General features: G+C 48.4%; 4 annotated features.

Moving 5' to 3' along the window:
- Nucleotides 3,707-4,278: an enhancer, noted in NCBI's record as "H3K4me1 hESC enhancer chr16:9102552-9103123 (GRCh37/hg19 assembly coordinates)". NCBI's record gives its function as "activates a minimal SCP1, AML or CMV promoter by ChIP-STARR-seq in primed H9 embryonic stem cells {active_cell/tissue: H9 hESC(primed)}" and the evidence as "EXISTENCE:reporter gene assay evidence [ECO:0000049][PMID:30033119]".
- Nucleotides 3,858-3,907: an enhancer, noted in NCBI's record as "active region_10368". NCBI's record gives its function as "activates an Ori minimal core promoter by ATAC-STARR-seq in GM12878 lymphoblastoid cells {active_cell/tissue: GM12878}" and the evidence as "EXISTENCE:reporter gene assay evidence [ECO:0000049][PMID:35858748]".
- Nucleotides 15,727-16,021: an enhancer, noted in NCBI's record as "tiled region #11265; K562 Activating DNase unmatched - State 9:DNaseU". NCBI's record gives its function as "activates a minimal TATA promoter and a strong SV40 promoter by Sharpr-MPRA in K562 cells {active_cell/tissue: K562}" and the evidence as "EXISTENCE:reporter gene assay evidence [ECO:0000049][PMID:27701403]".
- Nucleotides 20,687-20,981: an enhancer, noted in NCBI's record as "tiled region #2468; HepG2 Activating DNase matched - State 5:Enh, and K562 Activating DNase unmatched - State 5:Enh". NCBI's record gives its function as "activates a minimal TATA promoter and a strong SV40 promoter by Sharpr-MPRA in HepG2 and K562 cells {active_cell/tissue: HepG2 | K562}" and the evidence as "EXISTENCE:reporter gene assay evidence [ECO:0000049][PMID:27701403]".

Here is a 22,826-nt window from a genome sequence, read left to right as displayed (position 1 = left end):
ATTTTTTTTTTTTAGACAGTTTCGCCCTTGTTGCCCAGGCTGGAGTGCAATGGCATGATCTCGGCTCACCACAACCTCCGCCTCCCGGGTTCAAGTGATTCTCCTGCCTCAGCCTCCCAGGTAGCTGGGATTACAGGCATGCACCACCACGCCCAGCTAATTTTTGTATTTTTAGTAGAGACGGGGTTTCTCCATGTTGGTCTGGCTGGTCTCGAACTCCCGACCTCAGGTGATCCTGCTGCCTCGGCCTCCCAAAGTGCTGGGATTCCAGGCATGAGCCACTGCGCTCACTTTCTGTGCACTGTAGGCTGTTTAGCAGCACCCCTACCCTCAGCCAGCCAGATGCCAGGAGCATCCTGCCACCCTCCCCCTATTTATGACACCAAAAATGTCTCCAGACACAGCCAAATGTCCACTGGGAGAGGGAAGAATCACTCCTCCTTTGCCCGTCATCCCTATTTGAGGACTTCTGACCTGAAGAAGGAGGCTCTTAGCTGTGAGTAATTATGGACCACAGCGGCTGGGAAAACCAAGCTTGTGAATTCTGAATCTGGATTTCTTTCAAAGTAAGGCCCCCAAAGCGTGTTGTTTGCTGATCTAGAGAAACCCTGCACGAAACAAATTCTTACCTGACCCTGAAGCTTTCTGGGGTTTTGTTTGTTTATATTTTAATGCTGTGAGAATAAAATAGATGTTTATATGAAAATTTAAATTGTTTGGTTGGGCGAAGTGGCTCACGCCTGTAATCCCAGCACTTTGGGAGGCCAAGGCGGGTGGATCACCTGAGGTCAGGAGTTCGAGACCTGGTGAAACCCCGTCTCTACTAAAAATACAAAAATTAGCTGGGCGTGGTGGTGGGTGCCTATAATCCCAGCTACTCTGGAGGCTGAGGCAGGAGAATCACTTGAACCCGGGAGGCGGAGGTTGCAATGAGCCGAGATGGAGCCACTGCACTCCAGCCTGAGCAACAAGGCGAGACTGTGTCTCAAAAAAACAAATAAATAAATAATTTTTTAAAAAGTAAAGTGTTAACACATTCCCTAGTCCACAACAAGTGTCAAATAAAAAATAAAAATAGGCCGGGCATCGTGGCTCATGCCTGTAATCCCAACATTTTGGGAGGCTAAGACAGGAGGATCGACAGAGCTCAGGAGTTCAAGACCAGCCTGGACAACATAGTGAGACCCAGCCTCTACAGAAAAATTTAAAAATTAGCCAGGCATGGTGGCATACATCTGTAGTCCCAGCTACTTGGGAGCCTAAGGTGGGAGGATCGCTTGAGCCCAGGACGTTGAGGCTGCAGTGAGCCATGTTCATGCCACTTCACTCCAGCGTGAGTGACACAGCAAGACGTGTCTCAAAAACATAAAATAAAATAAAAATAATAAATAAGAAAGTGTCAGCCAGGTATGGTGGCTCATGCTTGCAATCCCAGCACTTTGGAAGGCTGAAGCGGGTGGACTGCTTGAGCTCGGGAGTTTGATACAAGAGTGGGCAACATAGTGAGGCCTTGTCTCAAATAATAACAATAATAAAGTGGCCAGGAGCAGTGGCTCATGCCTGTAATCCCAGCACTTTGGGAGGCCGAGGCGGGCAGATCACCTGAGGTCAGGAGTTCAAGACCAGCCTGGCCAACATGGTGAAACCTCGTCTCTACTAAAAATAGCCAAGTGTGGTGGTGGGCACCTTTAATCCCAGCTATTCGGGAGGCTGAGGCAGGAAAATCGCTTGAACCTGGGAGGTAGAGGTTGCAGTGAGCCGAGATCACGCCACTGCACTCCAGCCCGGGCAACAGAGTGAGACTCCGTCTCAAAAAAATAAATATAATAAAATAAAGTGTGACGCAAAAATGATGAGTTTTTTTGAAGTGAAACAAAACAGGTAGCATTTAGTTTCCCTTCTGAGCTAAGCACTGCATGGCACGATCATGGATCAGGATTTGGTTGTCACCTCTGCATCAAATTAGTGTCTTCGAAAGGTGCACTAAACTGTCCCTTTGATCCAATAATTGCCTTCTGCTGTAGTGATGCCACTACACTTCAGCCTAAACTTTTAGTTTAGTTCTCTGCTGGAACTAAAAGCCACTCACTGTTAACTCCTTCAGCCTAAAGAAAAATGTCATTTTGTCAGAACTGAAGTTCAGGAGATGATGACTTGCTGAGACTTTAAGTGTTAACTTGGACATTGTTCTCCCGGATTTGGGCTGAGGATAACATCTGTATCCCCTTCTCAACTTAGTTCCTTTTATCTGACAGCAGACAGCCTACACTCTCATCTTTCCATTTTCACCTTGAATTCCTAGAAACAACTAAACTCAAGTACAATGACTATCAAATGCATTGACTGGCGGGGCACGGTCCCTCACACCTGCAATCCCAGCACTTCGGGAGGCCAAGGCAGGTGGATCATTTGAGGTCAGGAGTTCGAGACCAGCCTGGCCGACATGGTGAAACCCCGTCTCCACTAAAAAGACACAAATTAGCCAGGTGTGGTGGTGCATGCCTATAAGCCCCACTACTCGGGAGGCTGAGGCAGGAGAATCATTTGAACCTGGGAGGCGGAGGTTGCAGTGAGCCGAGATCACGCCACTGCCCTCCAGCCTAGGTGACAGAACAAGATTCCATCTCAAAAACTAAAACTGAAAACATTCAATGACTGTCTCTTTTTTTGGCAATTGTCCTGTCTTCCTTTTAAGTGGTTTGAGGTGACTCTTTTTTATTTATTTATTTATTTATTTATTTATTTATTTATTTTTTATTTATTTTAACTTGCTTGCTCTAGGTCATCGTATTTCAGGAAGAAATCTCTGTGGATCCCTTTGGGGATGTGAATAAGTAAGCATGTGAATTGTTGAAATTTAGGCTGAACCATATGAAATTGACTTTTTATGGATCAAAAATACACGAATACAGCTTGGGCAACACTTCAGTGAGACCCCGTCTCTACAAAAAGTAAAAAAAATAAAAATAAATAAAAATAAAGCTTGAACCCAGCTCTTCCATCGACTTGGCATGGTAGTGTGCACCTGTAGTCCCAGCTACTCAGGAGGCTAATGTGGAAGGATGGCTTGAGTCCAGGAGTTCAAGGCTGCAGTGAACTGTGATCATGCCACTGCACTCCAGCCTGGGTGACAAAGCAAGCCTCTGTCTCAAAAAAAAAAAAAAAAAAAAAAAAAGCTGAGTATCAGCCAGTCGCAGTGGTTCACACCTGTAATCCTAGCACTTTAGGAAGCCAAAGTGGAAGGATAACTTGAGCCCAGGAGTTGGAGACCAGCCTGGGCAACATAGCAAGGTCCCATATCTTTTTTTTTTTTTTGAGACAGAGTTTCGCTCTTTTTGCCCAGGCTGGAGTGCAATGGCACAATCTCAGCTCACCGTAACCTCTGCCTCCGGGGTTCAAGCCATTCTCCTGCCTCAGCCTCCCGAGTAGCTGGGATTACAGTCGCCTGCCACCATGCCCGGCTAATTTTTTGTATTTTTAGTAGAGACGGGGTTTCATCATGTTGGCCAGGATGGTCTCGATCTCATGACCTCGTGATCTGCCCGCCTCGGCCTCCCAAAGTGCTGGGATTACAGGCGTCAGCCACCGCGCCTGGCCAAGTTCTCATATCTTAAAAAAATAATAAATAAATTAGCCTGGTGTGGTGGTGCTCCTGTAGTCCAGCTACTCGGGAGGCTGGGGTGGGAGAATCTAGCTCGGGAGTTAGAGGTTGCAGTGAGCTATGATCGCACCACTGCACTCCAGCCTGGGCAACAAAGTGAGACCCTGTCTCAAAGGAAAAAAAAAACAGCGAGAGAGAAAACAAGATTCCTTTAAGAGCTAATAAGGCCGGACACATGTAATTGATAAAGATCACGGACCCCTGTGGTTATTCAGCGCCAGCATGCTTTAGAAAGAGGCGTGTGAGGGAGTCATCCGTTCTTCTGGGTTCTCTCTCCTGCTTGCCGGGTGGGGTGCAGTGTCCACCCGGACCCAGCTCCAGAATCTCCGCTGAGCTACTTCTTTCTCCCCGTGGCCACTAGAGGGTGCGAGGACCGCAAGCAGGGGCTGAATCTGAGCCCAGCCGGGGTCAGGGCCCTGAGCTATGGCTGGTGATTTGGCGCTGGAAGGCCCTCCCTGCGCCCCTAGGGAAGGAACAACAGGCTCAGAAACCCAGGACTGCGGTGGACACCCCCACCTCTGAGCCAGCCGCACGTTCTGGAGTGCGTGGGTGCGATGGCAGTCCCCAGGAGTCCCGTGGGAATGAGCACACTGCTGGGGGGCGGGGGCTTTGCTCCCCGTCAGTTCTGCATTTCTGAGCCTTGATCCCACTGGCCCGTTGAAACCCTCTCGACCCCTCTTCAGACAGTCTGGCTGTGTCTGAAAGTGCACAGGTACATTATGGGCTAGAATAACCCTGTAATGGATCGGGCCGTGCTTCCTGTACAAGTCTTGGTTTTCACTTACTGTAAGTAATCCTGCTCCCTTTTCCGATGGGGTAAAAGGGAAGGAGCATAGCTATGAGTTCGCTTAAGCCAGCACAGCGGTGGGCAAGGGAGACAAAGCTGCGGCTGGGACCAACCAAGGCCTCTGAGAAATGATATCATGAACCCGGTGGGGAGGTGGCAGTGGGACGTGCACAGAGCTTGGGGCTCCAGATGCAGACCTGGGTTCAAACTCAGCTCCTCCATCCACCAGCAGGCTTAGGATCTCCCCTCTCAGAGCCTCCGTTTCTTCGTCTTGACGGTACAGGCTCACACCTGTAAGCCAAGGGCTTTGGGAGGCCAAGGCAGGAGGATTGCTTGAGGCCAAGAGTTCAAGACCAGCCTGGGCAACATAGTGAGAACCACACCCCCCCCCCGCCCCCACCCTTGTCTCTACAAAATATTTTAAAATTAGCCAGGTATGGTGGTGTGTGCCTGTCATCCCAGCTACTTAGGAGGCTGAGGGGGAGAACTGCTTGAGCCCAAGAGGTCCGCGGCTGAAGTGAGCTATGATCGCACCACTGCACTCTAGCCTGAGCGACAGAGCCAGATCCTGTCTCTAAAAAAAAGAAAAGAAAAAGTGGGGGTAATATGCAGGACAATGAGTGACTTGAATGAGACAATAGTTCCCCAGCACCCACCATGGTAGCCCTCAACTCATGGCCACTAAAATAGGACAGTGGCTTGGTTACGATGGTTGCAAAATAAATTCAGCTCCAACATGTAGTGGTTTGAAACGACCATGTCATTACGTCTCTGGTTCTGTGGGCGCACTGGGCTGAGATGAACCATTCCATTGCTGATCTCACTGGGGGTCTCTCACGCTGTCACAGCCTGACAGGCTAGAGTCCTCTGGAGGCTCCACAGGATGCTGGGAAGGCTGCCTCCTCTCACTCCCGCGCTGCTGCGGGGCACTGCCTCCACACGTGGCCTCCCCGACAGGGTTGCTGAGCTTCATGCACTGCATTTTGGGATTCCCAAAAGTACAAAAATGGATCTGCCCCAGTCCTCTTAAATCTTGGGTCTGGAGCCCACGCAGCACCACATCTGGCATCATGCATTGGTGAGTCGCAGGCAGCTTGGATTCAGTGTGGGAGGGGACAACTCCAGAGAGCCAGCACCAGAGATGTAGTTCCCAGGGGCCCATTGCTAGGGACTAGACACCGGAGATGACGTATCAGTGACCTAGGGCTGCCGTAACAGATTACCACCAACTTGCTGGCTTAAAATAACACACATTTATCATCTTACCGTTCGGGAGGTCAGAAGTTCAAAACGGGTCTCACTGGGCTGAAATCAGGGTAGAAAGGCTGTATTTCCTTTCTGGAGGCTCTGGAAGATAATCCTTTTTTTTTTTTAAGACTGGGTCTAGCTCTGTCGCCCAGGTTGGCGTGCAGTAGTGCAACCAAAGCTCACTGCAGCCTCGACATCTTGGGCTCAAGTAATCCTCCCACCTTGGCCTCCCACAGGGATGGGATTACAGGGGTGAGCCACCACGCCCAGCTGGAAAATCCTTTTTCTTGCCTTTTCCAGTTTTTGGTTTGTTTGTTTGTTTGTTTTTCTTTTTGAGACAGAGTCTTGCTCTGTCACCCGGGCCGGAGTGCAGTGGTGCGATCTCAACTCACTGCAGCCTCCACCTCCCGATTCAAGTGATTCTCCTGCCTCAGCCTCCTGAGTAGCTGGGACTACAGGCATGCACCACCACACCCGGCTAATTTTTTGTACTTTTAGTAGAGACGGGATTTCACCATATTGGCCAGGCTGGTCTCAAACCCCTGACCTCGTGATCCACCCGCCTCAGCCTCCCAAAGTGTTGGGATTACAGGCGTGAGGGACTGCACCTGATCCTTTTTTCTTCTTTAAGCCTGCTGCCTCCTCTTGTAAGTACCCTTCTGATTACATTGGGCCCACCTGGATAAGCCATCGTATTCTCCCCATCTCAGATCAACTGATCAGCAACCTTAATTCTATCTACAAACTTAATTTCTCATTGCGGTGTAACATAACATATTCACAGGTCCCAGGGATTAGGACGTGAACACCTTTTGGGTCATTATTCTGCCTACCTGCCACAGGTACAGAGAAAGGCATTTTATTGAACTTACAACATTTCCTCCTAAAACATTTTTAGAGATTAAATTTATCATGAACCATGTTTCAGGAAAAAATGTTCCTTAAACTCTTCTTGTTTTTGTTTTTTTGAGACTGGGTTTCACTCTGTTGCCCAGGCTGGAGGGCATTGGTGCAATCACAGCTCACTGCAGCCTCGATCTCCCAGGCTCAAGTGATCCTCCCACCTCATTCTTCCAAGTTGCTGGGACCATATGCACATGCCACCACACCCGGCTAATTTTTTGTTTTGTAGAGAAAAGGTCACCGTATGTTTTCTAGGTTGGTCTCGAAATTCTGGGCTCAAGAGATCCTCCTGCCTCAGCCTCCGAAAGTGCTGGGATTACAAACGTGAGCCACTGCAGCTGAATCAAACTCTTAAATAAATTCTCTTTTGCTTTTTTTTTTTTTTTGAGACAGTCTCACTCTGTCGCCCAGGCTGGAGTGCAGTGGTGCAATCCAACCTCTGCCTCCTGGGTTTAAACCATTCTCCTGCCTCAGCCTCCCAAGTAGCTGAGACTACGGGCATGAGCAACCACGCCCGGCTAATTTTTATATTTCAGTAGAGCTGGGGTTTCGCCATGTTGGCCAGGCAGGTCTCAAACTCCCAACCTCAGATGATCCACACACCTCGGCCTCCCAAAGTGCTGGGATTACAGGCTTGAGCCACTGTGCCCGGCCTCTTTGGCTTTTTTCATTCACAAACATTGCTTGAGTTATAAGCCCCATGTAGGCAAAAGGAGACACCTAAAACATGGTCCCTGCCTTTGAGAAGTTCGGTGTGGTTCCCCCAGCAGCCACTTTCCCCGCTTTTTGCTCACAAAATCTGTTTGTTGCAGATGAAAATAGGCCTTGGCTGGACGCGGTGGCTCATGCCTGTAATCCCAGAACTTTGGGAGGCCAAGGCAGACAGATCACTTAAAGCCAGGAGTTCGAGACTAGCCTGGGCAACATGGTGAAACACTGTCTCTACTAAAAATACAAAAATTAGCTGGTATGGTAGCTTGCGCCTGTAATCCCAGCTACTTGGGAGGCTGAGGCAGGAGAATCGCTTGAAGCCAGGAGACGGAGGCTGCAGTGAGCCAAGATCACGCCACTGTACTCCAGACTGAGCAACAGAGTGAGACTCTGACTCAAAAAAAAAAAAAAGTTACTAGGTCTGAGGATTGTCAGCCCTATAATACTGACTATTTATTTGATGGCTCCTGCTATGTGAGTTTCTTTGGGAAATCGACATATTTGCCAACTTGAGTCAGGCTTGCTAATGAATTATACGAATTTAAAATCATGGCCGGGTGCAGTGGCTCATGCCTGTAATCCCAGCACTTTGGGAGGCTGAGGCAGGTGGATTGCTTGAGCCCAGGAGTTAAAGACCAGCCTAGCCAACATGGCAAAACTCCGTCTCTACTAAAAATACAAAAATTAGTTGGGCATGGTGGCACATGCCTGTAATTCCAGCTACTTGGGAGGCTGAGCCACAGGAGGTAGAGGTTGCAGTGACCAGAGATGGCACCACTGCACTCCCGCCCAGGTGAGAGTAGGAAATTCTGTCTCAAAATAAATAAATAGACCAGGTGCAGTGTTTCATGCCTGTTATCTCAGCACTTTGGGAGGCCGAGGCAGGTGGATGACCTGAGATCAGGAGTTCAAGACTAGCCTAGCCAACATAACAAAACCCCGTCTCTACTAAAAATACAAAAATTAGCCGGGCGTGGTGGCACATGCCTGTAGTCCCAGCTACTTGGTAGGCTGAGGTGGGAGGATCGCTTGAGTCCAAGGGGCGGAGGTTGCAGTGAGCTGAGATAGTGCCACTGCACTCTGGCGTGGGCAATGAGTGAGATCCTGTCTCAAAAAAATAAAAATAAAAATGAAAAATAATTAATTAAAATAAAACAATGCCAAGCTGGGCGTGCTCACTCCTGTAATTCCAGTGACTCTGGAAGTGGGAGGGGGAGGATCACAAGCCTGAGAGGTCGAGGCTACAAAGAGCTGTGATTACACCACTGTACTCCGGCCTGGACAACAGAGTGAGGCCCTGTCTCATAAGCAAATAACATAACATAACACAATAAAATAATGCCAAGTCTTCAGGAATAAATCCTAGAAATAAAGGGTATTCCACCCTGTCCCTGCTCCCTGGAGCTGTCATGACAAATCACAATGTGCTTAGCACTATGCACAGGACCAAGATCTACATTAGACACAGTGCCTAGGTCCCTCAATATTTTTAGGGGCCCAGGGAATTGTTTAAATTTCTTTTAATATTAGAAGTAAAAAAAAAAATAGGCTGGGTGCAGTGGCTCACGCCTGTATTCCCAGCACTTTCAGAGGCCAAGCTGGGTGGATCACTTTAGCTAAGGAGCTCGAAACCAGCCTGGGCAACATGGTGAAACCCCAGCTCTACAAAAAAAAAAAAAAAAATCAGCCAGGTGTAGTGGCTTGTGCCTGTGGTCTCAGCTGCTTGGGAGGCTAAGGTAAAAGGATTGCTTGAGCCGAGGAGGCAGAGGTTGCAGTGAGCTGAGATGATGCCACTGCTCTCCAGCCTGGGTGATAGACTAAGACTATCTCAAAAATAAATAAATAAGAACTGAAAAATGAATATAATCCAGTCTCCCTTATATTTCTCTTTGTACCAATACAGTCATGAATGACAATATTTTTTCATGAAGGAAGGGTCCATGGAAGTTATAGTGTGGCCCCAACAGTACCTGGCACAGAATAGACCTCAGTAGGTGTGAGTTGTTTGACTATCCTCATCCTTGTCGCTATTATTGGCAAGAATGAGGCACTCCTCCTTACACTATGGTCACCAGACCAGCCTAGCCAGCTGGGAGGGTAAATAGAACCAAAGTAATTATAAGGCTGGGTGCGGTAGCTCACACCTGTAGTTCCAGCTACTCCAGAGGCTGAGACAAGAACGTTGCTTGAGCCCAGGAGTTACAGGCTGCAGTGAGCTATGATTGCTATGGTTGCAACACTGCACTCCAGCCTGGGACACAGAGCAAGACCCTATCTCTTAAAAAAAAAAAAAAAAAAAAAAAAGTCTGGGCGACCTGGCTCACGCCTGTAATCCTAGCACTTTGGGAGGATCACCTGAGATCAGGACTTCGAGACCAGCCTGGCCAACATGGTGAAACCTTGTCTCTACTACAAATACAAAAATTAGCCAGGCGTGGTGGCCGGTGCCACTAATCCCAGCTACTCAGGAGGCTGAGGTGAGAGAATCGCTTAAACCTGGCAGGCAGAGGTTGTGGTGAGCTGAGATCGAGCCACTGCATTCCACCCTGGGTGATAGAGTGAGACTCCGTCTCAACAACAACAACAAAAAATTAGCACAAAGTAAGCTGGGTGGGTGGCTCATACCTGTAATCCCAGCAGTTTGGGAGGCTGCGGTGGGAGGATCACTTGAGTCCAGGAGTTCAACACCAGCCTGGGTAACATGGCAAGACCCTGTCTCTACAAAAAATTTAAAGATTAGCTGGGAGTCGGCCGGGTGCGGTGGCTCACGCCTGTAATCCCAGCACTTTGGGAGGCTGAGGCGGGCGGATCACGAGGTCAAGAGACAGAGACCACGGTGAAACCCTGTCTCTATTAAAAATACAAAAAAATTAGCGGGGCGTTGTGGTGGGTGCCTGTAGTCCCAGCTACTCGGGAGGCTGAGGCATGGGAATGGCGTGAACCCAGGAGGCGGAGCTTGCAGTGACCTGAGATCGCGACACTGCACTCCAGCCTGGGAGGCAGAGCAAGACTCCGTCTCAAAAAAAAAAAAAAAAAGATTAGCCAGGAGTGGTGGCACACCCATGTGGTCCCAGCTCCTTGGGAGGCTGAGGCAGGAGAATCACTTAAGCCTGGCAGGTCAAGGCTGCTGCGAGCTATATTCAAGCCATTGCACTCCAGACTGGGTGACACAGTGAGACTCTTTCTCAAAAAAAAAAAAGAAAAGAAAACACCATGTAATAATAATATGGATTCACAGTGGTAAGTGCTCATTGCACACTCAGCTCTGTGCTGAAGACATCATTGTCCCTACAAGGTGCATATTATCATCCCCATTCCACAGATGAGGTAATGGAAGCCAGAACAGTGAAGTGACTTGCCTAGGATCACACACCTACCAAGAAGGGGAGGCATGACTTGAATCCAGGTCCCTGGGATGCCACAGCCACATCCTGTATGTGCTAAGAGAGCTGATGCTAATCAGAAGGTCTTGCATGACAGTCTAGAAAATTTGGACTCACTCACACAGAAGTCAGTGCTGGCAGGTTTTTGGAAAGGAGCTTAGTGGTGCTTTGGGAGACGGATTTGGCAGTGGTGCTTGGAGTCTCAGCGGGTTGTCATAATTCCAGGGAATATTCCAAGAGGTGTCTAAGATTGGTAAAGGCAGGCTGGGCACAGTGGCTCGCACCTGTAATCCTAGCACTTTGGGAGGCCGAGGCGGGCAGATCACAAGATCAGGAGGTCGAGGCCAGCCTGGCCAGCATGGTGAAACCCCATCTCTACTAAAAATACAAAAAAATTAGCTGGGCCTGGTGGTGCGTGCCTGTAATCCCAGCTACTCAGGAGGCTAAGGCAGGAGAATCACTTCAACCCAGGAGGCAGAGGTTGCAGTGAGCCGAGATCGTGCCACTGCACTCCAGCCTGGGCAATAGAGTGAGACTCTGTCTCAAAAAAAAAAAAAAAGATTGGTAAAGGGGCGGGTGCAGTGGCTCACACCTATAATCCCAGCACTTGGGAGGCTGAATCGGGTGGATCACTTGAGCCCAGGAGTTCAACACAATGTAGAAAGACCTCATCTCTACCAAAAATTTTTGTTAAATAAAATTAGCCAGGTATGGTGACACTTGCCTGTGGTCCCAGGTACTTAGGAAGCTGAGGTGGAAGGATCATTTGAGCCTGGGAGGTCGAGGCTGCAGTGAGCCATGATCCTACCACTGCACTCCAGCCTGGGTGACAGAGCAAGACTCTGTTTCAAAAAAAAAAGCAAGAAGAAACAGGTGGAAATAATTTTAGCGACATATTTTATTTAACCCAGTATGTGCAAAATATTATCATCTCAACTTAAAAAGTATTAACTAGGCCCAGCAAGGGATTGGGGTGCTTTAACTAACATTTTGGAAGCTCCTTCCGGCCAGGCTCGGTGGCTCATCCCTGTAATCCCACTGCTTTGGGAGGCCAAGGTGGGTAGATCACCTGAGGTCAGGAGTTTTACACCAGACTGGCCAACATGTCAAAACCCCATCTCTACTCAAAATGCAAAAAAAAAAACAAAAAAAATTAGCCAGGCTTGGTGGCTCACACCTGTAGTCCCAGCCACTCGAGAGGCTGAGGCAGGAGAATCACTTGAACCAAGAGGCAGAGGTTGCAGTGAACTGAGATCTTGCCAATGCAGTCCAGCCTGGGTGACACAGGGAGACTCCATCTCCAAAACAAAAAAGCTCCTTCCTTTCTTCCCCTAGTAAGTTAAATGCTGGAGTTCACCATTGTGTGTGATTAGTCGGACTTTCTAGGTTGAAATCTCTGCTCTGTTTCATACTGCTGTGTGACCTTAGACAAATTCCTTAATCTCTCTGTGCCTCAGGAGGCACACCTGTCTATCTATAAGGAGGAATGATAATAATATAACTTACCTTGGGGGTTGTTGCAAGGAGTACATATTAAGCACTTAGACAAGCAGTGAGCATGTGGTTAGCATCCTTTTTGTACACTTGGAAAGGTTTTCCGCTCCTAAATTAATGATATGCAAGAGGCTGGGCACAGTGGTTCAGGCCTGTAATCCCAGCACTTTGGGAGGCTGAGATGGGCGAATCACCTGAGATCAGGAGTTTGAGACAAGCCTGGCCACATGGTAAAACCCCGTCTCTACTAAAAATACAAAAATTAGCTGGGCATGGTGGCGCACGCCTGTAATCTCAGCTACTCAGGAGGCTGAGGCACAAGAATCGCTTGAACCTGGGTGGTGGAGGTTGCAGTGAGCCGAGATCACTCCACTGCACTCCAGCCTGGGTGACAGAGTGAAACTGTGTCTCAAAATAAATCAACAAATAAAAAGGCCAGGCACAGTGTCTCACACCTGTAATCCCAACACTTTGACAGGCCAAAGTGGTGAGATAGTTCGAACCCAAGAATTCAAGACCAGCTTGGGCAACATAGTGAGACCTCATCTCTGAAAAAAATTTTTAAAGAATTGTCTGGACACAGAGGCTCAAGCCTGTAATCCCAGCACTTTGGGAGGCTAAAGCAGGTGGATCACTTGAGTCCGAAAGTTTGAGACCAGCCATGGCCAACTCCCCACCACCCCCCCAGCCCATCTCTACAAAACAATACAAAAATTAGTCAGGCGTGGTGGTGCACACTTTTAGTCCCAGCTACCAGCTAGTAGGGAGGCTGAGTTGGAAGCATTGCTCGAGCTCAGGAGTTCAAGGCTACAGTGAGCCATGATTGTGCCACTGCACTATAGCTTGGGAAAACAGTCCCAGACCCCTGTCTCAAAAAAAAAAAAAAGCCAGGCATGGTGGCTCACACCTGTAATCTCAGCACTTTGAGAGGCCGAGGCAGGCACATCACCTGAGATCAGGAGTTTGAGACCATCCTGGCCAACATGGTGAAACCCTGTCTCTACTAAAAATACAAAAATTAGCTGGGTGTGGTGGCCCATGCCTGTAATCCCAGCTACTGGGGAGGCTGAGGCAGGAGAATTGCTTGAACCCGAGAGGCGAAGGTTCCAATGAGCCAAGATCGAGCCACTGCTCTTCAGCCTATGCTACAGAGTGAGACTCCATCTCAAAATAAATAAATAAATAAATAAATAAATAAATAAATAAATAAGGCCAGGCGCAGGGGCTCACATCTGTAATCCCAGCACGTTGCGAGGCTGAGGCAGGCAGATAACCTGAGATCAGGAGTTTGAAACCAGCATGGCCAACATGGCAAAACCCCGTCTCTACTAAATATACAAAAATTAACCTGGCATGGTGGCAGGTGCCTGTAATCCCAGCTACTCAGGAGGCTGAGGCAGGAGAATCGCTTGAACCTGGGAGGTGGAGGTTGCAGTGAGCCGAGATCATGCCACTGCATTCCAGCCTGGGTGACAGCAAGATTCCATCTCAAAAAAAAAAAAAAAAAATAGCCATGGTGGCACACACCTGTAGTCCCAGCTATTCAGGAGGCTGAGGCTGGGGGATTACTTGAGCCCGAGAGGTCAAGGCTGCAAGACTCTGTTTCAAAAAAAGAAAAAAAAAAGTGACTATTTTAAAGAATGAATGCAGGTTAGGCCGGGCGCGGTAGCTCACGCCTGTAATCCCAGCACTTTGGCAGGCCGAGGCGGGCAGATCACGAGGTCAGGAGATTGAGACCATCCTGGCTAACACGGTGAAACCCTGTCTCTACTAAAAGTACAAAAAATTAGCCGGATGTGGTGGCGGGCGCCTGTAGTCCCAGCTACTCGGGAGGCTGAGGCAGGAGAATGGCGTGAACCCGGGAGGCGGAGTCTGCAGTGAGCCGAGATAGCGCCACTGCACTCCAGCCTGGGGACAGAGCAAGACTCCGTCTCAAAAAATAAAATAATAATAATAATTTAAAAAAGGAATGAATGCAGGTTAATCACTTAAAACAGTGCCTGAATGGCTGGGCAAGGTGGTTCACACCTGTAATACCAGCATGGCCGAGGCAGGTGGATCACCTGAGGGCAGGAGTGACCAGCCTGCCCAACATGGCGAAACCCCGTCTCTACTAAAAATACAAAAAATTAGATGGGCGTGGTGGCAGGCGCCTGTAATCCCAGCTACTCAGGAGGCTGAGGCAGGAGAATCGCTTGAACCTGGGAGGTGGAGGTTGCAGTGAGCCAAGATCACACCATTGCACTCCAGCCTGGGTGACAAGAGCAAAACTCAGTCTCAAAAACAAACAAAAAACCAAAAAAAAAAAAAAGAGAAAAACAACAGTGCCTGATACATGATAGATATTCAACAATTATTAGCTCCCATTATTCCTGTTGTTGTTATGAGTTGTCTTGCAGAAACGGGGGTGATAGGACATGGATGCTTCAAGCTAATCCTCATACTGGTGTGATTAAGGGCATTAGCCTGGAAGCCAGACAGACCCAGCTGTGCCATTTACTAGCTGAGTGACTCATTTATATTACATAACTTCTTTGAGTTCAGTTTTCTCAAATGTGAAATGAGAGTAATATCTACATATATCCACCAGATGTTTTTGGCTGTAAGGAACAGAAATTGGTTAGAACCATAAGAGAATATATTATCCCACATAGCAAAAATCCCAGAAGGCCATTTCTGGCCTTCAGAAATGGCTGATCCAGTATCCAGTGCCCGGTGAGGTGGCTCACGCCTGCAGTCCCACCTACTCGGGAGGTTGTGGTAGGAGAATCGCTTGAACCCGGGAGGCGGAGGTTGCAGTGAGCTGAGATCGCGCTACTGCACTTCAACCTAGGGGACAAGAGCCAAACTCCGTCTTAAAAAAAAAAAAAAAGAAAAAGAAAAAAAAGGCCTGGCGTGGTGGCTCACGCTTGTAATCCCAGCACTTTCGGAGGCTGAGGCGGGCGGATCATGAGGTTAGGAGTTTGAGACCAGCCTGGCCAACACAGTGAAACCCCGTCTCTACTAAAAATACAAAAATTAGCTAGGCGTGGTGGCAGGCGCCTATGGTGCCAGCTACTCGGGAGGCTGAGGCAGGAGAATCGCTTGAACCCGGGAAGCGGAGGCTGCAGTGAGGCGAGATCGTGCCACTGCACTCCAGCTAGGTGACACAGGAAGACTCCGTCTAAAAAAAAAAATAAAAAAGAAAAGGCTGATCAAGAAGCTGAACCTGGTCACCAAGGACCCAGAAACTTTCCATCTCTATATCTAAGGTTCACCTTCAGGTTAAGATTCATTTCGTTTTCGCTTTTGTTTGGAAACACGGTCTGGCTATGTCACCCAGGCTGGAGCATAGTGGCACTATGATAACTCACTGCATCCTCAAACTCCTGGGTTCATAAACCCTCATCCCAGCCTCAAAGTTGTGGGGTATTTTTGTTTTTGTTTTTGTTTTTGTTTTTCGTGTTTGCTAGATGGCTTCTGGTGATAATTCAGGCCACATGCCTTGTTGTTCATATCCAGTGAGCAATAGACAGTCCTTCCCCATCGTGAAATAAAATTCCTTCCTTTCAATATAATTGGTCGAATATAAGTCTCATACCCACCCATAGACTGAGAACCCATTCACATGGTGGGATGCCTGAAGCTGATTGGCTTAGGTCTGTCTACTTGAACCAATCACAGGCAGGGAAATGGGATAACCATGTTCAGACCAATCAGAGCCCATCCCTGGAGCTGGGAGTGGGGCTGGCCCCCCGCAGTCACATGGGCTACATGCAGGCGTTTGGTCTTAAGAAAATGCAGAGTGGATGCAGAGTTGCAATCCACAGTGTCCCTTATGCTGCCTCTCGGGGTTCTCAACAAGATTAAATAAGAAAATGTCTTTAAAGCACTTAGCACAGTATCTCACACCTATTATTAAGCTTTTCTGTGTTGTTAGTAGGAGCTGAATTGAGTGCACGGAGCTGCTAAATTGGTTACTAAAAGAGAGAACAGAGAGTACCGGTGAGATTAATTTTTTTTGATACAGTTAACACAGAAACAGTATAAATATTCTTAACCATTTGCCAGCTATCAGGAGCCTTGTAGACAGAGGCTAATGCAGTCAGGACACAATGCTTTAGCTTAATCTGACATAATGTTCAGAAGAAAGTAATAACTGAAAACAAATGAAGTGACTGATTCTGGGGTGCAAACAGAGGTGCCTTCACGGGAGAGTCATGAAGCTTGAGCTTTGGGATCCTAAATTGTCCCTTCCTAAATCCTAGAAGGGATCCTAGCAATTTTTGTTGTTTTTTGTTGTTTTGTTTTGTTTTGTTTTGAGATGGAGTCTCGCTCTGTCGCCCAGGCTGGAGTGCAATGGCTTGACCTCGACTCACTGCAACCTCCATCTCCCAGGTTCAAGCGATTCCTGTGCCTCAGCCTCCAGAGTAGCTGGGACTACAGGCGTGCACCACCACACCTGGCTAATTTTTGTATTTTTAGTAGAGACCAGGTTTCACGATGTTCACCATGGCTGGTCTCAAACTCCTGACCTCAAGTGATCCCCTCGCCTCAGCCTCTCGAAGTGCTGGGATTACAGGCTTGAGCCGCTGTGCCTGGCCAATCCTAGAGAAAATTCTGATTGGTCCAGCCTGAGTCACATGCCTGTCTATTGAGCCAATCCAGTGGCCAGGGGGAGGAGTCAGTCTGACCAGCCTTAGGCATACGGAGAGATGAGAAGAGACAGGACCACCTGAAGTTCTCCCAGAGAAACGTAGAGAAAAGGAGATGAAAATGCACATTGTGGCAGGGAGCGGTGACTCACGCCTGTAATCCCAGCACTTTGGGAGGCTGAGGCAGGCGGATCACTTGAGGTCAGGAGTTCGAGACCAGCCTGGCCAACATAGTGAAACCCCATCTCTACTAAAAATACAAAATAGTCAGCCAGGCATGGTGGCGAGTGCCTGTAGTCCCAGCTACTCGGGAGGCTGAGGCATGAGAACTGCTTGAACCTAGGAGGCCGACGTTGCAGTGAGCCAAGATAGCGCCACTGCACTCCAGCCTGGTTGACCGAGCAAGACTCTGTCTCAAAAAAAGAAAGAAAGAAAATGCACATTCAACTACACAGTCCCTTAAGCCAAAGGACCGCAGCCACCTCTTCCAAGCACGTCGTGTTATCACTGAGGGTACTGTGACCTAGCAGGCGACATTTAGATTTACACAAGGTTGCCAGGTGCGGTGGCTCACGCCTGTAATCCCAGCACTTTGGGAGGCCGAGGCGGGCGGATCACGAGGTCAGGAGATCGAGACCATCCTGGCTAACACGGTGAAACCCCATCTCTACTAAAAATACAAAAAAATTAGCCAGGCATGGTGGCGGGTGCCTGTAGTCCCAGCTACTTAAGAGGCTGAGGCAGGAGAATGGTGTGAACCCAGGAGGCGGAGCTTGCAGTGAGCCAAGATCGCGCCACTGCACTCCAGCCTGGGGACAGAGCGAGACTCCGTCTCAAAAAAAAAAAAAAAAAAAAAAAAAAAAGATGTACACAAGGTTATGCTATGTTTGCAGAGTAGATCAATCCATATTATGAAATCATGGATCTGGCCGGGCTGGGTGGCTCGCACCTGTAATCCCAGCACTTTGGGAGGCTGACTGGCCAACATGGCAAAACCCTGTCTCTACTAAAAAATACAAAAATTAGCTGGGTAGGGTGGCGGGTGCCGGTAATCCCAGCTACTCAGGAGGCTGAGGCAGGAGAATCGCTTGAACCTGGGAAAGGGAAGTTGCAGTGAACCAAGACAGTGCCACTGCACTCCAGCCTGGGCGACAGAGTGAGGCCCTGTCTCAAACAAACAAACAAACAAATCATGGATCTGATATAAAATAATCCTACTCCTGGTGTTTTACAGAGCAGGGAGAAATCACCACATTCACCGTGAAAATGACATGGACTCACTGTCCTGGGCCTTGTGACCCAGAGAAATGGAAAAGACCTGTAGTCAAACTGTCTAGCAGGACGCTTTTAGGGTTCATGGAAAGGATTTCTTTTAATATACCCATGGAGCATTCTCCTTGTGGAAGCTACTCTCACTGATGCCAGAGCTGCTTCCTAGAATAGCTACAGTTCAGGGGGGTGGAAGTGGGTATATTCTCATCCATCAACCACAAAGAGTCAAACATCATTTTTCATCACTACCTCCAGGGACACCCAGCATCACCACCACCAACTCTTCCTTGGTAAACTGGGTATAATCCCAATCTCACCTCTCCGGGGTGTTTGGCAAGTCTCTCCCTGTCAATACAGGAGAATGATAGCTGTAACCAAATGCTTCCTCTGTTGTTAGGCATCTGCTGAGCCAGGAATGCAGCTATCTTAAGCAAAAGGGAGGGTTTGCTATAAGGATCAGTATCCTTATAGCATCTTGCAAAACCTAAAGGCCCCAGGAGGGCCCAGAAATGGAAGCCATCAGAAACACTGGCCAGGGGTCGGGCACAGTGGCTCACGTCTATAATCCCGGCACTTTCGGAGGCCGAGATGGGTGGATCACCTGAGCTCAGGAGTTCGAGATCAGCCTGGGCAACATGTTGAAACCCCGTCTCTACTAAAAATACAAAAATTAGCTGGTCGTGGTGGCACATGCCTGTGGTCCCAACTACTTGGGAGGCTGAGGCAGAAGGATCACTTGAGCCTGGGAGCAGAGATCACGCCACTGCACTCCAGCCTCAGCAACAGGATGAGATCCTGTCTCAAAAACAGAAAGAAAGAAAGGCCAGGCGCGGTGGCTCATGCCTGTAATCTCAGCACTTTGGGAGGCCAAGGCAGGCAGATCACTTGAGGTCAGGAGTTCGAGACCAGCCTGATCAGCATAGAGAAACCCTGTCTCTACTAAAAATACAAAATTAGCCAGATGTGGTAGCACATGCCTGTAATCACAGCTACTCAGAAGGCTGAGGCAGGAGAATCGCTTGAACCTGGGAGGCGATGGTTGCGGTGAGCTGAGATTGCACCATTGCACTCCAGCCCGGACAACAAGGGCAAAACTCCATCTCAAAAAAGAAAAAAAAAGAAAAGAAAAAAGAAAAGAAAAAGAAAAAAGAAACGCTGGCCAGGGTGAGTGTGGTGGCTGTGGCCTGTAATCCAAAACTTTGGGAGGCTGAGGCAGGCAGATCTCTTAAGGTCAGGAGTTTGAGACCAGCCTGGTCAACACGGTGAAACCCTGTCTCTACTAAAAACACAAAAATTAGCTGGGCTCGATGGTACTCACCTGTAATCCCAGCTACTCGGGAGGCTGAGGCAGATGAATCTCTTGAACCCAGGAGGCAGAGGTTGCAGTGAGCCAAGATCCCGCCACTGCATTCCAGCCTGGGCAACAGAGCCAGACTCCATCTCAAAAAATATATATATAAATAAAAAATAAAATCAGCTTGGATCAGGTGCAGTGGCTCACACCTGTTATCCCAGCACTTTGGGAGGCCAAGGCAGGAAGATCACATGAGGCCAGAAGTTTGAGACCAGCCTGGCCAACATGGTGAAACCACATCTTTGCTAAAAAGACAAAAATTAGCTGGGCGTGCTGGTGGGCGCCTGTAATCCCAGCTACTCTGGAGGCTGAGGCAGCAGAATCGCTTGAACCCAGGAGGCAGAGGTTGCAGTAAGCCAAGACTGCACCACTGCACTCCAGCCTGGGTGACAGAACAAGACCTTGTCTTTAAAAAGAAAATAAAAATCAAAAATAGCTGATTAGCAATCTTAATTTCTGCTTGACGTGAGGTAACATATGCACAGGTTCTGGGGATTAGGGTGTGGACATGTTTGGGGAGCCATGATTCTGCCCATCACAGCAGCCCTCTGAGGAAATGAGTAACTGGAGCAGCCGCACATCAGGTCTCATTTTGCATCTTACATAGAATCCGGCTCTGCTGGCCGCTGCGAGCCAGGGGCTACCCTGGGACGCAGAGTGCATGTGGTTGTCACAAACTGCAAGAGACAAAAATAAGCACGGTCTCTCAGAGGCATCCCTGACCTCTGCAGAGGAGACAGGGACCACCAGGTACCAAACCTGCTATCTGCTTTATCTTCCCACTGTGTTGATTTGCATAGGGATAGGGGAATAATCATCAATGTTTATAGCAATAAAATAAGAAGCAATGTTTATAGCATAAGTGGTGCCCTGCTTAAAATAAGCCTATTGTTTTGGGGGGGGTGATTTTTTTTTTTTATTGTTGTTGTTGTTTTGTTTTTTTGGGATGGAGTTTCGCTCTTGTTGCCCAGGCTGGAGTGCACTGGTGCAATCTCGGCTCACCGCAACCTCCACCTCCCAGGTTCAAGCAATTCTCCTGCCTCAGCCTCCCAAGTAGCTGGGACTACAGGTGCGCGCCACCATGCCTGGTTAATTTTTGTATTTTTAGTAGAAATGTGGTTTCATCATGTTGGCCAGGATGGTCTCCATCTTTTGACTTCGTGATCCACCCACCTCAGCCTCCCAAAGTGCTGGGATTACAGGCGTGACCCACCACGCCTGGCTGTTTTTCTCTTTTTCCTTTTTTTTTTTTTTTTTTTTTTTTTTTTTTTCAGACAGAGTCTTGCTCTGTCACTCAGCCTGGAGTGCAGTGGTGCCATCATGACTCACTGCAAACTCCACCTCCTGGGCTCAGAGATCCTCCCACCTAAGCCTCCTGTAGTTGGAACTATAGGCATGCGCCACCATGCCTGGTTGGACTTCCTGTTCTTTGTGCTCATGGGAACCTGCCATATGCTTATGGTGTCTAGTCGATGAAGGCAGCACAGCCTGGAGGTTAAACAGTCAGCCTTGAGTTCAAATCCCAGCTCTCCCACTTACCAGCTGGGATTGGCTGTTTCCTCTGAGAAATGGAGATGATTATTATAAAAATACTGTCTCCTGGGAGTGTTGTGAGGGTAAAAATGCAACTGCGATGCAAATGTCATGCAAATTTGCCTAGTAGGTCCTAAATAAATATTTGCTCTTGCTTTTACTATGATCTCAATAGGAGTGATTAGAAATTAAGAGCTCAGACATTTTCCAGACCCAGGTGATTCTATCAGCTGTTACAAAGGTGTGTGAAGAGAGAAAAGATATTCACGCCCAGTTTAGCCATCCCCATGTAAAATTAAAATACCTTTCTAAAAGCTGGACATGGCTGGAACCCAGGAGTTCAAGTCCAGTCTGGGCAATGTAGGGAGACCCTGTCTCTAGAAAAAATAAATTATGGGGCCGGGCGCGGTGGCTAATGCCTGTAATCCCAGCACTTTGGGAGGCCGAGGCAGGCGGATCACGAGGTCAGGAGATCAAGACTATCCTGGCTAACAGGTGAAACCCCGTCTCTACTAAAAACACACAAAAAAATTGGCCGGGCATGGTGGCAGGCACCTGTAGTCCCAGCTACTTGAGAGGCTGAGGCAGGAGAATGGCATGAACCCGGGAGGTGGAGCTTGCAGTGAGCTGAGATCATGCCACTGCACTCCAGCCTGGGTGACAGAGTGAGACTCCGTCTCAAAAAATTAATTAATTAATTAATAAAATACCATACAGGCTGGGCGTGGTGGCTTACGCCTGTAATCCCAGCAGTTTGGGAGGCTGAGGCAGGTTGATCACTTGAGGTCAGGAATTTGAGACCAGCCTGGCCAACATAGTGAAACCCTGTCTCTACTAAAAATACAAAAATTAGCCAAGCATGGTGGTGTGTGCCTGTAGTCCCAGCTACTTGGGAGGCTGAGGCAGGAGAATCGCTTGAACCCCAGAGGAGAAGGTTGCAGTGAGCCGAGATCACACCACTGCACTCCTGCCTGGGCAACAGAGCGAGACTGCGTCTAAAAATAATAATAATAGTAATAAAATACCATATTGCATTCCTAGGGTTTCTCAAAGGGTAGTCCAAGAATCACCTTTATTTTTCATCTTTATTTTTTTTGAGAGTGGGTCTCACTTTGTCGTCCAGGCTGGAGTGCAGCGTCGTGATCTTGGCTCACAGCAGCCTCGACCTCCTGGGCTCCAAGTGATCCTCGTTCCTCAGCTCCCCAGTTAGCCAGGACTACAAGCATGTGCCACCACACTCCGTTAATTTTTGTAGTTTTTTTGTGAGCTCAGGCGATCTGCCTGCCTTGGCCTCCCCTGGCCTCCCAATGCTGGGATTACAGGCGGAAGCCACTGTGCCCAGCCCATAAGAACCACCCTTCTGAGGCTGGGAGGGGAGCTGGTGAATACCGCAGAGGTAGGAGGACCGAGGAATCTGCATTTTAAAAACTCCCCAGGGATTCTTGGATTCTTATTCTTACTAAATATAAAAATAATTCTCTCTTTGTAAAGAATCTCAGCAGGAAAACGGAAATGACTGTCTATGTTTGGGTTTTGTTTGTTTTTGAGACAGGGTCTTGCTCTGTCCCCCAGGCTGGAGCGCAGTGGCACAATCATGGCTCACTGCAGTCCCGACCTCCCGGGCTCAAGTGATCCTCTCACCTCAGCACCCCAAGTAGCTGGGGCTATCAGTGTGTGCTACCACGCTGAGATATATAGATAGACAGACAGACAGACAGACAGACAGTTAGATAGATAGATTTTAATTTTAGTAGAGACGAGGTCTCACTATGTTGCCTAGGCTGGTCTGGAATTCTTTTTTTTTTTTTTTGAGACGGAGTTTTCCTCTTGTCACCGAAGCTGGAGT

This window comes from Homo sapiens, chromosome 16, assembly GCF_000001405.40.
Source record: "Homo sapiens chromosome 16, GRCh38.p14 Primary Assembly".
Classification (NCBI taxonomy): domain Eukaryota; kingdom Metazoa; phylum Chordata; class Mammalia; order Primates; family Hominidae; genus Homo; species Homo sapiens.
This window is presented reverse-complemented; position numbering and strand designations above follow the sequence as displayed.